The sequence below is a fragment of the Homo sapiens genome, chromosome 21 (genome assembly GCF_000001405.40).
Source record: "Homo sapiens chromosome 21, GRCh38.p14 Primary Assembly".
In the NCBI taxonomy this organism is placed as follows: domain Eukaryota; kingdom Metazoa; phylum Chordata; class Mammalia; order Primates; family Hominidae; genus Homo; species Homo sapiens.
Window position 1 is genome coordinate 45139834 of NC_000021.9, and position 12561 is coordinate 45152394.

The window sequence follows — 12561 nt, forward strand, 5'->3', positions numbered from 1 at the left end:
ATTGAGACTTACCTTTCTTATAGAATTTGTTTTCTTCTGGGATCTCTTGATTTTTTTAAAATTGGATTTACTGAGGTAAAATGTACAGACAATAAAACTCTTTTTTTTTTTTTTTTTTTTTTTTTTTGACACAGAGTTTCGCTCTTGTCACCCAGGCTGGAGTGCAATGGCATGATCTCTACTCACTGCAACCTCTGCCTTCCAGGCTCAAGCGATTCTCCTGCCTCAGCCTCCCTAGTAGCTGGGATTACAGGCGCCCGCCACCATGCCCGGCTAATTTTGTATTTTTAGTAGAGATGGGGTGTTGCCATGTTGGCCAGGCTAGTCTCAAACTCCTGACCTCGGGTGATCCACCCACCTCAACCCAGCCAAAAATCATTCTTCTAAAGTGTGCACTCTAATATATTCTGACAAATGTATGCCAGTGCCACACCACCAAGCAGCTGAGGTAGAGAATATTCTTACCCCAAAAAGTTTCCTCTTACCCCGTGCAGATGTCCTACCCATCAGGGCCCAGGGCGACCTTGTCTGATGTTGATGTCCCATCAGATGGTTTGTATTCAGCAGAGCACCTAGACCAGGCTGTGAGGTACAGGTCCGCCCCTGGCAGCCCATGCCTTGTAGCTTCTGGGTGGCTCCTGGCTTGGTTGCTGTGGTGTGGAGCGTTGAGTGACCTCTGCAGAACAGCAGATGGTGCTGTAGGGCCGCTTCTAAGACTCAGTGGAGGAGGCTCAGTGGCGTTCTGAGCGGTGGCCACCAGGACAAACCTCTTGTCTTTACACCATCTGTGTGTGTGTGCGTGAGTGTATGTGTGTGTGCATTCCAGTGTGCGTCCAGAAGCCAGTTTCCTTCAGAAAGCTTTCTGTTCCCTGGCTTCATTTTTACCATTTAGAGGACCTGTGAAGCAATGAGATGGAATACTTATAGCTGGTTTAATTCAGTGAGTGATCTGAATTGTAAATAAAATTTTATCAAGTAATTTATAAATTTGATATAATAAATTAAGTCTGCGGAAGGGGCTGATTGTGTTATGGAATGAGAAGTTTTGTACATCTTTTGCAATTCTAAAAATTGTGGCCAGGTGTGGTGCTCAAGCCTATAATCCTAGAACTTTGGGAGGCTGAGACAGGAGGATTGCTTAAGCCCAGGAGTTTGAGACCAGTCTGGGTAACATGGTGAACCCCTGTCTGTACAAAAAATAAAAGTAAAAATAAATTAGCCAGGCATGGTGGCACATGCCTGTAGTCCCAGCTACTCGAGAGGCTGAGGTGGGAGAATTGCTTGATCCCAGGAGACGGGTGGCAATGAGCCAAGATTGTGCCAATGCACTCCAGCCTGGGCGACAGAGCGAGACCCTGTCTCAAAAAAAAAAGTTGTGACTTTGCTGTGTAGTCTTTGTGTAACATAATTTTATGATTCTATTGTTTTAAGCTTAATATTCCAAATAGGTAATAATTATGTTAAAATGCAAAAAATTAGCCTATACTCTCATGATCTAAATATGTAGTAGTGGTTTTACAGAATATATTTCAAAGGATTGCCATTCTGTTTTATTTTTAGTAGCCAGTTATAGAAAGCATTATTTTTAAATAATGCCTAAGAATCTTTAAAGAAATACCTGTCAATGTATGTTCCAGTTTAGTATCAAATTTATATTCAGAGCTCATAAGAATTTAAAAAGTTTCCCAGAGTCTGTAAATGGGGATGGAGCTGTCCTTCAAGGGTGATAGTCCCCCTAGGTTTGAGTTGTCCTCTGCTGCTAGCATAGTACCACCTGAGCTACCTGTGGGCCACCTTCACCACCCGTGGGTCCCTCCAGCCACCCCAGGGACACCTTAGCCTCCCTGGGTCGCCTTAGCCACCCCTGGGCCATGTTAGCCACCACAGGATCACCTTAGCATCCCTGGGTCACCTTAGCCACCCCAGGGTCACCTTAGCATCCCTGGGTCGCCTTAGCCACGCCTGGGCCATGTTAACTACCACAGGATCACCTTAGCATCCCTGGGTCGCCTTAGCCACCCCAGGGTCTCCTTAGCCATCCCAGGGCCACCTTAGCCACCTGTGGGTTACCTCAGCCACCAGTGAGTCACCTTAGCTACCCCAGGATCACCTTAGCCATTTGTGGGTCACCTTACCCACCCTTTCACCTTAGTCACTCATGGTCAGCTTAGCTGTTTGTGGGTCACTTAGCCACCCCTGGGCCACTGTAGCCACCTCTGGGTGTCCTTAGCCACCCCCGGGCCACCTTGGCCACTCTGGGTCACCTTGTCTACCCCTGGGTTACCTGAGCCACCCTTGGTCACTGTCTGTGGGTGCTTGCTTGCTTTAAGCCACATTATGCTACTGCAGCTAATTAAGGTCGCTCAATTCAAGTGTCTCCTTTTTTTGGGCTCCTGCCTTCTTTTTGTTTTTCAAATCGAACACCCGCTATACTCATTTGAGAAGTGTAGACTTTGATTTTTAACCCTAAGTTGCATGGTAAAGTCACCTTTAAAGCCAATGGAAAAAGCTTAATTGAATTCATTTGTTTGAAGAAGTAGAGGAATGTTGCAAGTAGACTGAAAGTTATACTTAGTCTGTTCTGTTTGAAACCATTCTCATTCAGAAAACAGAAATGTGTTTATGTAAAGAAATATGTTACTTGACTTAATATTGTAAGGAATCTTAATTGAGAAAATAAGTAGTTGTGTTTTTTCTTTAACTGGGCAGCATTGTAGCGGGGTGGAGTGTGGGTCCCCAGGTTGGAGAGCTCTGGATTTGGAGTGGATCCTAGCACATGGCCACCATGTGACCTTGGGCAGTGACTCAGCCCAGCTGGCTGCCAGGCTGCTCCCCATGAGGTGGTGGGAGCCGTGTGGGATCTGCCTACTGGGTGTGCAGCTGCTGCGGCCTAAGCGGCGTCCTTGCTTGGTCCCCCCATGAACTCAGGGGTGTGGCCTGGCTCCGTCATGTGTTTTGCAGGGGGATCTGAGGGGCCCAGAAGGTAAGAAATTGCCTACGGCCCTTGGCTAATAGAAGAGGGAGCAGGGCTTTGACCAGGGGGACCAGCTAGTGACTCTGTGCTGGTTACTACTTTACCAACACCATGGCCATGCTGCACAGCTGTGCAGCCTCCACCCACAAAGGCCAAAGCTCCAATGGCATCTGCGATGCTTGTAAAACAAGTAGCAGCCGTGTCCAGCCTGCTGCTCTGAAACCTCAGTCTCCTTTACTGAGATTTGATGATGTTTAAATGAGCAAATGCATGTGTAGTGATTGGCAGGTGGCCATCGCTCAGCCGACTTTTCCTGTGCCCTCTGCTTCGGCAGGTGCCCTTCCTGGCTCCCTGCTTCTTCCTCTCCTAACCTCCTGGCACTGTGCTCCTCACTCAGGAATTGCACCCAGCATCACCTCTGCAGGTGAGTCCCACACCTTCCCCCTGCTCTCCAAACTCAGACCCCAAGTCCAGCAGCATCTTCTCTCAGGCATCTATAGACCTCCACAACTTAAGACATCCAAATTCTCATTCCCTTGCCTTGCCATAATCTTCCCATCTCAGCAGCTCCTTCCTTCCAGGCTCTCAGGCTGAAGGTGGCCTATCCTTTCTTTTCTATCCCACATGGCAGCCAGGAGGCCTGTGGGCGGTGCCTTCAGGACATGCCTCTTGTGCCCCTGTCCCCTACTCTGGCCTGAGTGTTCCTTTTAAAACTAGGTCAGAACTAGATTAAAGCCCGTGTCCAAGATGCTGCCACAGTCTCTTGCCACCATATGACTGCCATGTCCTCACTGTGGCCCAGGAGGTCCCATGTGCAGAGCCGCTGGACCTCCGTCTCCTCTCACTCTCTGTTAACTGTGCTGCTGTCAGACTGGCTGCCTGGCTGTTCCTGGGCGGTTTCAGGTGCTGCGGCTACCTAGAACCTTCCATCTTCCTTTCTTCACTCTTCCCAGAAGAGAACACTCTTCCCAGCTGTCTTACGGCCAGCTTCCTCACCACCTCGCTGCAGTCTTTTCCGCAATGGCATCGCCACTACTGCCCTCCCACATCCAGCCATCATCCTAGAATAACAGCCACTGTTGTCCCCTGACACTTGACGGCAGTTCATCTTTTATGACCCCCATTGTCCCCATTGTCAGTTGTCTTTTTTTTTCCTTATTAGAACATAAGCTCCAGGAAAGCAGATGTTAACGTCTTTGTTCACTGATGTATCTCAGGCATTTAGGACAGTACTGGTACATAGTAGATGCTCAGTAAATAGTTAGATGAATGAATATTTGCTACTTTTCTTATTGACAGACATTTCTGAGGTACTTTAATATTACGTTAAGTAATGTTACAATTTCCCATGTGTTGATTTTATGTAAATAATGAGTAAATTACTCTCATAGAGATTTTAGAATTCTAATAAACTCATATTTCCCCTTCTTATAAGAGTAGAAAAATGCTTTTAAGAGTTTTCCTAAATTAATATTCTGGGAACATTAAATTTTAGAACTTTACTCTGAGGGCATAGATAAAAATAAAATTAATTAGATACCAGGAATGTCAGATGCTAAATGGTGTATGGCTATTTGTGACATTCTCCTAGAATTAAACAGTTATTAACTTGCAAAGACATGGCAGCTGAAGTCAGAAATTGATGAACTTTTAAAGTTGGGAAAAAAAGAGCTTTAAGGTATCTTATTAAAATTGTAAACTGTCAGTTTAATCATCATAGAAACCATACCTGATACAGTAAATCGTTGCTATTCTGCTTTGAATTTCTGGATTCTCATGAATCAGACATTCTATTTTTATGTTTCTCTTCAATAATCCTAAAGGTGGAAGAAAGAAATGGGAAGAAAAAGGAAGAGAACCATAGCTACGTTGTGAGGGCATTGCTTCAACTCTGGTAACTTCATGTGAAATGACTACAAAATGAATTAATATGCAGTAAGAGAGCCAGTGCCCCACCAGGGCACCTTTCCACTTGCTGGCACACAGATTTACCACAATTAGGATACTGCTTGTCCTGTCATGCCGGGAGAGTCTAAATTACTCTGACTTTCAAGAAACCAAAAATATGCATTTTTGATGTTAGGAAGATTTACTGTGCATTGGGCTGTGTCATTTGATGAGGAAAAAACCAAATGATCTCTTTATGAAAATGAAGGTAAAATATATGTAAATGCCATTTTAATCTAACTTTTTATATGAATGTAGAACAAATATCAAACAGGATTATACAGTGTGATAGTCAGGAAAGTAGCATGCTTTTGTGTTTTATAGACTAGTCTAAAAGGAGCCCCAGTAGACTTGGTATTGTTAAACCAAGGAGATCTTGAGAACTGTTCTGTCTCCCTTGTGCCCATAGAATTGTAGCCTGTGGAGGTGACCAAGGAACCAGATCCCAAGAGGCCTCTGCCACTGAAAGGAGATTTTTATTACTTGCGTTTCCTAGACGGGGGGGCACTCGCGCCAAGCAGGCCCACGGGGCACACTGGTGTCAGTCAAGGGGCAGAAAGGAGCCACAGGAAAGCCCAGGACAGAGCCTGAGTGGGGTTTCTGTGGGAAAGGCAGGGCAGGGCACCCGTGTAGGAATGGCTAGTGTGAACAGTTCCAGTGGGCCCTGGGCTGTAGGAGAGATCACTAGCTGCCTGCTACCAGGCCCTGGGGTGATTTCGGGCAGGCGGGCAGTTAGATAAGGGAGGTGGGTAGAGCCGACCACCTGCCTGGAACCCTGTGCTGGCTATAAGCCCTGGGAGGGCCAGTCTCTCCCTGTGTCTGTAAGGCCCACAAATGCCAAAGCATTAGGAATAAGAAAATGGACGTAATAGAATTGATCCTGTGAGGACTGGATGCCTAACTGCCACATACAGAATGTGAGAAAGCACAGAACAACTGCCTTCATTGACAAGATGGTGCCCAGAGCTCAAGACAGGCACACAGCAGGAGGATGCCGGCAGGATCCCTCAACAAGCTTACCGTGGTATCTTTCACAATGTTAACTGTCATCCCAGATGAACTTTTAATGACAGTGTATCTCTGAAGATTGTGCTTTTAGCGTATTTTCACTTAAAGTCATATCTCATTTAGTAGACCTGCCAGATTCCTGAAAAGTTACACACAAGCCAGCTGACATGACCTTTGCCAGTCATGTTGACCACGTTCTCACCGAGCTGTGGACTCCTCACTAGGAGCCTTTACCTACGGCCAGATGGCTGTTGTCACTGCCTGTGGTGGGGTTACGGTTTCGGACTCACCTGATCCGTTCTGCCGGGATTACCTACGGCCAGATGGCTGTTGTCACTGCCTGTGGTGGGGTTATGGTTTCGGACTTACCTGATCCGTTCTGCCGGGATTACCTACGGCCAGATGGCTGTTGTCACTGCCTGTGGTGGGGTTATGGTTTCGGACGCACCTGATCCGTTCTGCCGGGATTTTAAAGTATGGGAGTTTAGGCATACTTTGCAAGTTGTTTCTTGAATATACTTTTCTGAATTATGGCTTGCTATACAAGTTTTGGTCTTTTAAGGTAAGAGTTACAATGGAGATGGGGAAATTATACTTTTCTCATTTCAAGGAAAGCAACAGTCATGAGTTATGCATCAGTTGGGAAACGGGATGATAGGAAGTTGCAAGGCAACCTGGTTTCAGCCGGACCGGGACTCTCCCGGGGCTGCGTCCTGCTAGAGCTGGCAGGACACAGAATACCACTAGCAGCCTCCCTGGGAGTGGCTTGGCGTCTTGGCCACCTCTTTCCACGGATGTGGTGGATGTGGGGGTAAACTAGAGAGACTAAAGCCCACTATTGGGCTCAGCTTCCTGTAGAAATCAAATCAGATGAAAACCCTGACCCAGAGGGAGAAGGCAGAGAGTTGGACTTTTGAAAACGTGAGTGTGTCCAGCAACCAGGCAGCAACAGTCCTTGTTTTTATCGAACTTCTATAAGCACTTTATTTCTCCAGAATAATTTCATCATAAAGAATCCAGAGCTCAGACAGCTCTTTACCATCTGTCTTTTCCTTTTTTCTTACCCTGTGTTTGGCTTGATCTGGACTGCACTTAACCATGACAATGTTAAGTGCTTTCTTCTGGGTAAAAATTCTGGCTTCTTCTCCAGAAATTCTGGCTCCACTTCTCAAATTGTTTCTGTCCCTGTTAGGAGACCCCTGGGGCCTCGGCTGGAGAGACAGTGCAGCTAGTCCCAGCAGCCACTGTGCTTGGGCCTGGCCAGCCCCTCCTCAGGGGTCACGGCACTGCTCACCTGGTGACTAGGTCTTCTCAGCCAGATCAGTTCATGTGCTCTGGTGTTTTTGAGCTTCTGGCTAGTCCTCAGTTTCTCAGACCTGGTTAATCACAGTGTGGAGTCATTTTTCATAACTGTGCACCTCACTTGTTTGATGCATGGCAAGGGAATAATTAAATTAATAAACCTACAGATATTCCCCCTTACAGTTTTCAAATACAGTAAGTGAATTTCTACTATAAAATAGGTCCAAAGAGGTTTTATTGTTTCTTATTTGAAATAATTAAAGAACATTTATGTTTCCCTTTTGTGGTTTCTTGGTTCTAATCCTGTGGGTTGCTTTTGACGTCCTCTGTTGGGGATACACTGTGCATCCGTATTTAACAGGAGATCCCGAACTCCCAGCAGGGAGCTAAGCACAGATGTGTGCACAGATGCGTGCTTAGGTAAGGATTTTGTGCAAGGTGACTTGTAATATGAAACTGTAAAACGTGCTACCTTAGACTGGAGAGAGAAGGGGGTGGTCTGATGTTTTCCACACGCCTCTTTTACCAAAATGGGTCATCTTATCTGTCTCAGGCCAGGCCCCCGGGGGTGCACAGGAACAGCACAGCTGCAGTGAAGGAGGGGCTCCTGCAGCCGGGCTGGCCCCAGAGCTGTGGGTCGTGCCCCGCGTGTTGCTCAGCGCGTTCTGCAGTTGCCCTGGCCTTAGTCCCCCATCTCGCTGTGATAGCCATGCAGGTCAGCAACTGTGAGCCTTCCTGGCTCCCACGCTGCCCCCGGCACCTCTCTCTGTTTCTGCTCCCAGCATCCTCTCAGCTTCTCTTCTGAGCCCCACGCAGCGGTTCCTGCTTTACCAGCACCACTTCTCCTCTGTCACCGAGAGAGAGCAAGAGGCTGCCGCGCCTGTGCCAACTGCCTGGTGAGGCTCCGTCGAGTGATGTGCAGGGCCTTGCGGTACAGCCCTCTCGAACTCACCCCACCAGAGGCCTGTCGGCATCACTGTCAGAAACAGGCGTTCTCCCCTCCCAGCCCCCGTCACAAGCTAAGCATCTGTGAGAACGGAGGCTCTGCTTCCCCGAGGATCCTGCCCCAGACGTGGGGGCAGCCTTTGCAGACAGCTTCTGTCCCACTCACCTCCTCCTTGGTTTTCACTCCTTTATGCCCTCACGGACCTGCCCACCAGTTCCCAAGCCCTCAGGGCCATGGCAGCCTCCGTGAGGGTGTGAGCTGGGTAAAAGGAATTAAGGTGGAGTCACAGCTACCAGTGGCTGATTGCCCGTGGGTGTCAGGCTGGCCCTAGGTGCCCCATTGCTAGTTCACTGTCCTGGGACGGCCCCAGTATTGTCAGCATTGAAGGAAAGAATCCGGACAGGCAGCAGAGGCTCCCACCTGATGACACTGAGGCTCCTGCCTTAGCACCAGGGCCTGGGCTCCCCTTTGCTGTAATGTCGTAAAGTATGTCAGGAAGGTTTGCCCATGACCTGGTGGAGAGAGAAGAGATGTGACAAGGCGACTCTGGCTTGTGTATCCCGCCCACAGGGGAAGCTTGGAGGAGTCGGTTTGTGAAAAATCAGGGCTCTGAGGGCACTGGAGCTGGTGCTGAGTTCTGCAGCAGTCAAGAAGTAGAGCAGAGCTGAAATCCTGGCTGCTCATGGGCATCACAGATGCATTCGCCAGCAGCTGGGCTCGGCTTTGCTCTAACATCCGCCCCTCCTCTGGGAGCGTTGTTTCTCTACTCCTGGCTGCCCAGCCCAGCTCCCTGGCCTGGCGAGATCTCTGCATCATTTCTTCTCCCCAGCTTCTCTCTCCACCCATGCCGCCATGGGAGAGTTTAGGCTGTCTCGTCCCTGACTGGCCTGAGGTAGGGCTGTGACTGTCTCCTTTTCCCTCTCTCCTGTCTTCCTCACCTATGCCCACATAATCAGTCCACCTTCCTTACTGCTGGATGCAAACCTGCTGAGTCTCTATGGCTTTCAGGATGGAGTTCAAAGACATCACCTCAGCGTGAAAGGCCCTTTCAGGTCTGGCCCGGCACAACCCTGACACCCGCATGTTCCTGGGTGCAACAACATGGGGCCCCAGGGCAGCTTCCCATGATGCATCAGCCTCTGCTGGCTCCTGATGTGGCCTCTGTTCCTGTCTTAGGCCCCTATTCCTCTCGGCAGGCTCCACACTTGCCTTACTCTATCTCAGAAGCTCATCCTGACACCAGCTCTGTCCTCTGTACTGGGAACATGGAGCAGAAATCCATCACGGCTGCTGATCCATGCATGCTGATGAGTTGCTGGCTGCCTCCTTGTGCACAGCATCTGGGGGCACTCAGGTGGCCCTGCTGTCTCTGGGCCTGTCCCTGACACTGGCAGGGGTTGGGGCACCAGAGTTCAAATGGGGGCCGCATATCTTGTCTAAATCTTCCAGAGTTTTAAGTCAAGCCAGTGCACTATTGATACAATATGTTGTGTCTTCTTCTTTGACAACTACATCTTCAAAATGGAAAAAATATGTGGGGACCTATGGTTTTTATATGAATTAATGTTGGCAAAATATCAAAGACCACTGAATTTAACTGTTAATTTAACTGTTATCTAGGTGTTCTGTTCAGAGGCCACTCATGTTTGAATGAGTAACAGGATCAAGACATGATTTATCAATAAGTGCATATATCTCCCATAACATTGATTATTTTGTTTTTATTTCTGCAAATGACTAATCATGTTTTATATTAAGCATTTTCGGATAATGCTTGTTCTGTTGGTGCTCACGGCCTAATGCGGGGCTAGCGCACAGCGGCCTACATCCTGTTTTTTGTGCAGTGTTTACAGTTTTTAAAGAGTTGTTAAAAAATAAAATAGTGCAACAGAGACATGGCCACGAAGTCTAAAGTACTTACTCTTTGCCCCTTTACAGAAAATGTTTGCTACCACTTGATCTAAAGGATTAAAAAATAAAACATGTCATTGGGCCAGATGCGGTGGCTCACGCCTGTAGTCCCAGCATTTTGGGAGGCCAAGGAGGGCGGTTCACCTGAGGTCGGGAGTTCGAGACCAGCCTGACCAACATGGTGAAACCCCGTCTCTACTAAAAATACAAAAGAAATTAGCCAGACGTGGTGGCGCACGCTACTTGGGAGGCCAAGGCAGGAGAATCGCTTGAATCCAGGAGGTGGAGGTTGCAGTGAGCTGAGATCCTGCCGCTGCATTCCAGCCTGGGCAACAGAGCAAAACTCTGTCTCAGACAAACAAACAAACAAAAATGTCATTGAATTTGAAGTATACAAAATTTGAATATCTTTCTATCAAAAATTTGAATTTTAAGGAAATAACAAAGCAAAAATTATAATTTTTTGTGTTTTCAAAAAATTATTTTTTCTAAATTATTAAGTTATAAGATATAAAGTAGTTAATGTGAAATGTTTAAATCAAAATTGTTTAAAGCTGAGTTTTAAATTTAATACTTTGAAAATTTAGTTAAATCATATTAATAATTTTATAAGAAATAAAACTATTGATAATTCTGATGTCTGACATCTGTCTGATTGCTGACATGGATCCTGAGTCTTACAGTGTTTTGAGGGCCTCCAGCTACATTGGGGTTCCAGTGCCAGAGTGGCTGGCAGCCCCACCCTAACGAGAAGTGAAGGGGCTGGGCATGCTGTTTCCAGTGCTTTCATGAGATGCTGCTTTGCCTGGCGGTCGGGCCTGATGTCTCGTTGTTCCACCTGTGACCAAGGGGTCCCTCTGGAAATGTGTGTGTACTGACACATGCCCTGGTGGCTCTTGTCTGATCCATGTCCAGGTTATTCCTGCCTGACCGTCACTCGTGCCAGGAGCCCAACACAAATTCAGGCACAAATTCAGTACACCACACAATGGGGGAAACATGTTCAAAGATTTTTACTTACAGGTCCTGAGCAGGGAGGGTGCCATGAGTCAGGAGGGCAGTCCTCTGTCCCTGGGTCATGCAAGCAGGAACAAAGGGTCAGGCAGAGAGAGAGAGCACTGCAGCCAACCAGCAGAACAAATAAGGGAGTAGGGTGGGGTCACTTGAAGTGTGTGGGCAGGTGCCTGAGTGAAAGATGCCTCTAGGTTCTCATCTCTGGTACTGGCTTGAGCCACTGGGTGTGGTGTAGAACTACAAAGTGTCAGGGGTGGCTGAACTCTGCCGCTACTAGGAGAAAGTGCAGCTCATATTCCAGATAGATGCTGAGGCAATAGAAAATGAAAAGAATTCACTATGCTTACGCAGAGTGTGTCTGGACACACACAAATTTAAGAGTAATAAGAATTGCTTAATATGGCATAATTTCCTTAGGTGCCATGTGCAGTTGTCACAAGCATTGCACTAATTGGAATAATGAATTAGAAAGTGGATGTTGGTCATTATTAGGAAAAGGTACTTTGTTACACGAGACAGTAATTGCATTGTGGCAAGAGAAAGAATCTGACTAATTAATTTGTCTTTTTTTTCTTTTGCCTATGAGTGCTTCTTCTGCTTGACTCCTCCCCATAATCGGACTCCTTCCAAGACAGCCTAATCTTCAGGGCATTTGGATGCAGCTGCCTTTTGTTCCAGAGACACAGGCCATCTCAGGGGAGGTATCTCCCTGGGGCCTGAACAGCGTTTTTCTAGACAAGAGGAGGCTGAGGGCTGTGGGTTCTGCTTTGCCAGCCCTGAATGCTGGATCCCGAGTGGCAGAGGCACCAAGTGCTGTATGATGTGTGTATGTGATGTGTGTGCATGTACATGTGTGTGATGTGTGTCCCTGCTCGCCCCAGGCTGGCCATGGTACTGTGCTAGTCACAGACTGGCTGTGCTGATCAAGCCAGGCACAGTGGAAAATGGGAAGATGTTGGCGTTTGCCCCTCCCTTGGCTGTGTGTCATTCACCTGGGGCATGAGCTGTGCCCCTGCTCTGCAGTAATGAACAAGGCAGGTCAGCATTGGTCCGAGACACGTGAGTTAAGAGAGGAGGAAGAGCACTCTCTGGGGGCGGGGGGATCCATTTGTCAGTGGCCTGCAGTTTCCTGTCCCAGGGATTTCACTGGTGACATCCTGACCACTCACCTGCACTTTATATGGAGCTGTTTTCATCAGCTGGCGTCTGCTGAGCCTCTGCATTGTGTTGTGTGGTAGCCTGTTACTTTTTGCAGTTTTATTTTCTAAACTGTACTCTTTTATTGATAGATTTTTTGTATTAGGATTTCCATTTAAACAGGACTTTGGTACGTCTGCTGTGGGAGATTTGTTTCCCTAGAAGATTCACGGCTGTCGTTCTCTCCCCTCTGCTCGTGGTGTTTTACTGTGACTGCGCTGAACGGTTAGCTGTCACATGTCATTCTCTGGGTGGTGTGCTC

General features: G+C 47.6%; 1 protein-coding gene across 19 annotated transcripts in view, besides 2 other annotated features; it reads left to right on the top strand.

Moving 5' to 3' along the window:
* ADARB1 (adenosine deaminase RNA specific B1) overlaps window positions 1-12561 on the top strand; it is a 151986-nt gene that overhangs the window by 65256 nt on the left and 74169 nt on the right. For 2 of the 19 annotated variants that reach the window (XM_047440666.1, XM_047440664.1), the window contains exon 1: window positions 4798-4868. The exons of 16 other annotated variants lie outside the window; for them this stretch is intronic. The gene's annotated coding sequence lies outside the window, so the exon portion shown is untranslated. Of the gene's footprint in view, window positions 1-4797; window positions 5130-12561 lie in introns of those variants that run through there. One more of the 19 variants, XM_047440660.1, reaches the window with a different exon arrangement.
* Window positions 9253-9848: an enhancer, noted in NCBI's record as "H3K4me1 hESC enhancer chr21:46569001-46569596 (GRCh37/hg19 assembly coordinates)". NCBI's record gives its function as "activates a minimal SCP1, AML or CMV promoter by ChIP-STARR-seq in naive H9 embryonic stem cells {active_cell/tissue: H9 hESC(naive)}" and the evidence as "EXISTENCE:reporter gene assay evidence [ECO:0000049][PMID:30033119]".
* Window positions 11520-12376: an enhancer, noted in NCBI's record as "H3K4me1 hESC enhancer chr21:46571268-46572124 (GRCh37/hg19 assembly coordinates)". NCBI's record gives its function as "activates a minimal SCP1, AML or CMV promoter by ChIP-STARR-seq in naive and primed H9 embryonic stem cells {active_cell/tissue: H9 hESC(naive and primed)}" and the evidence as "EXISTENCE:reporter gene assay evidence [ECO:0000049][PMID:30033119]".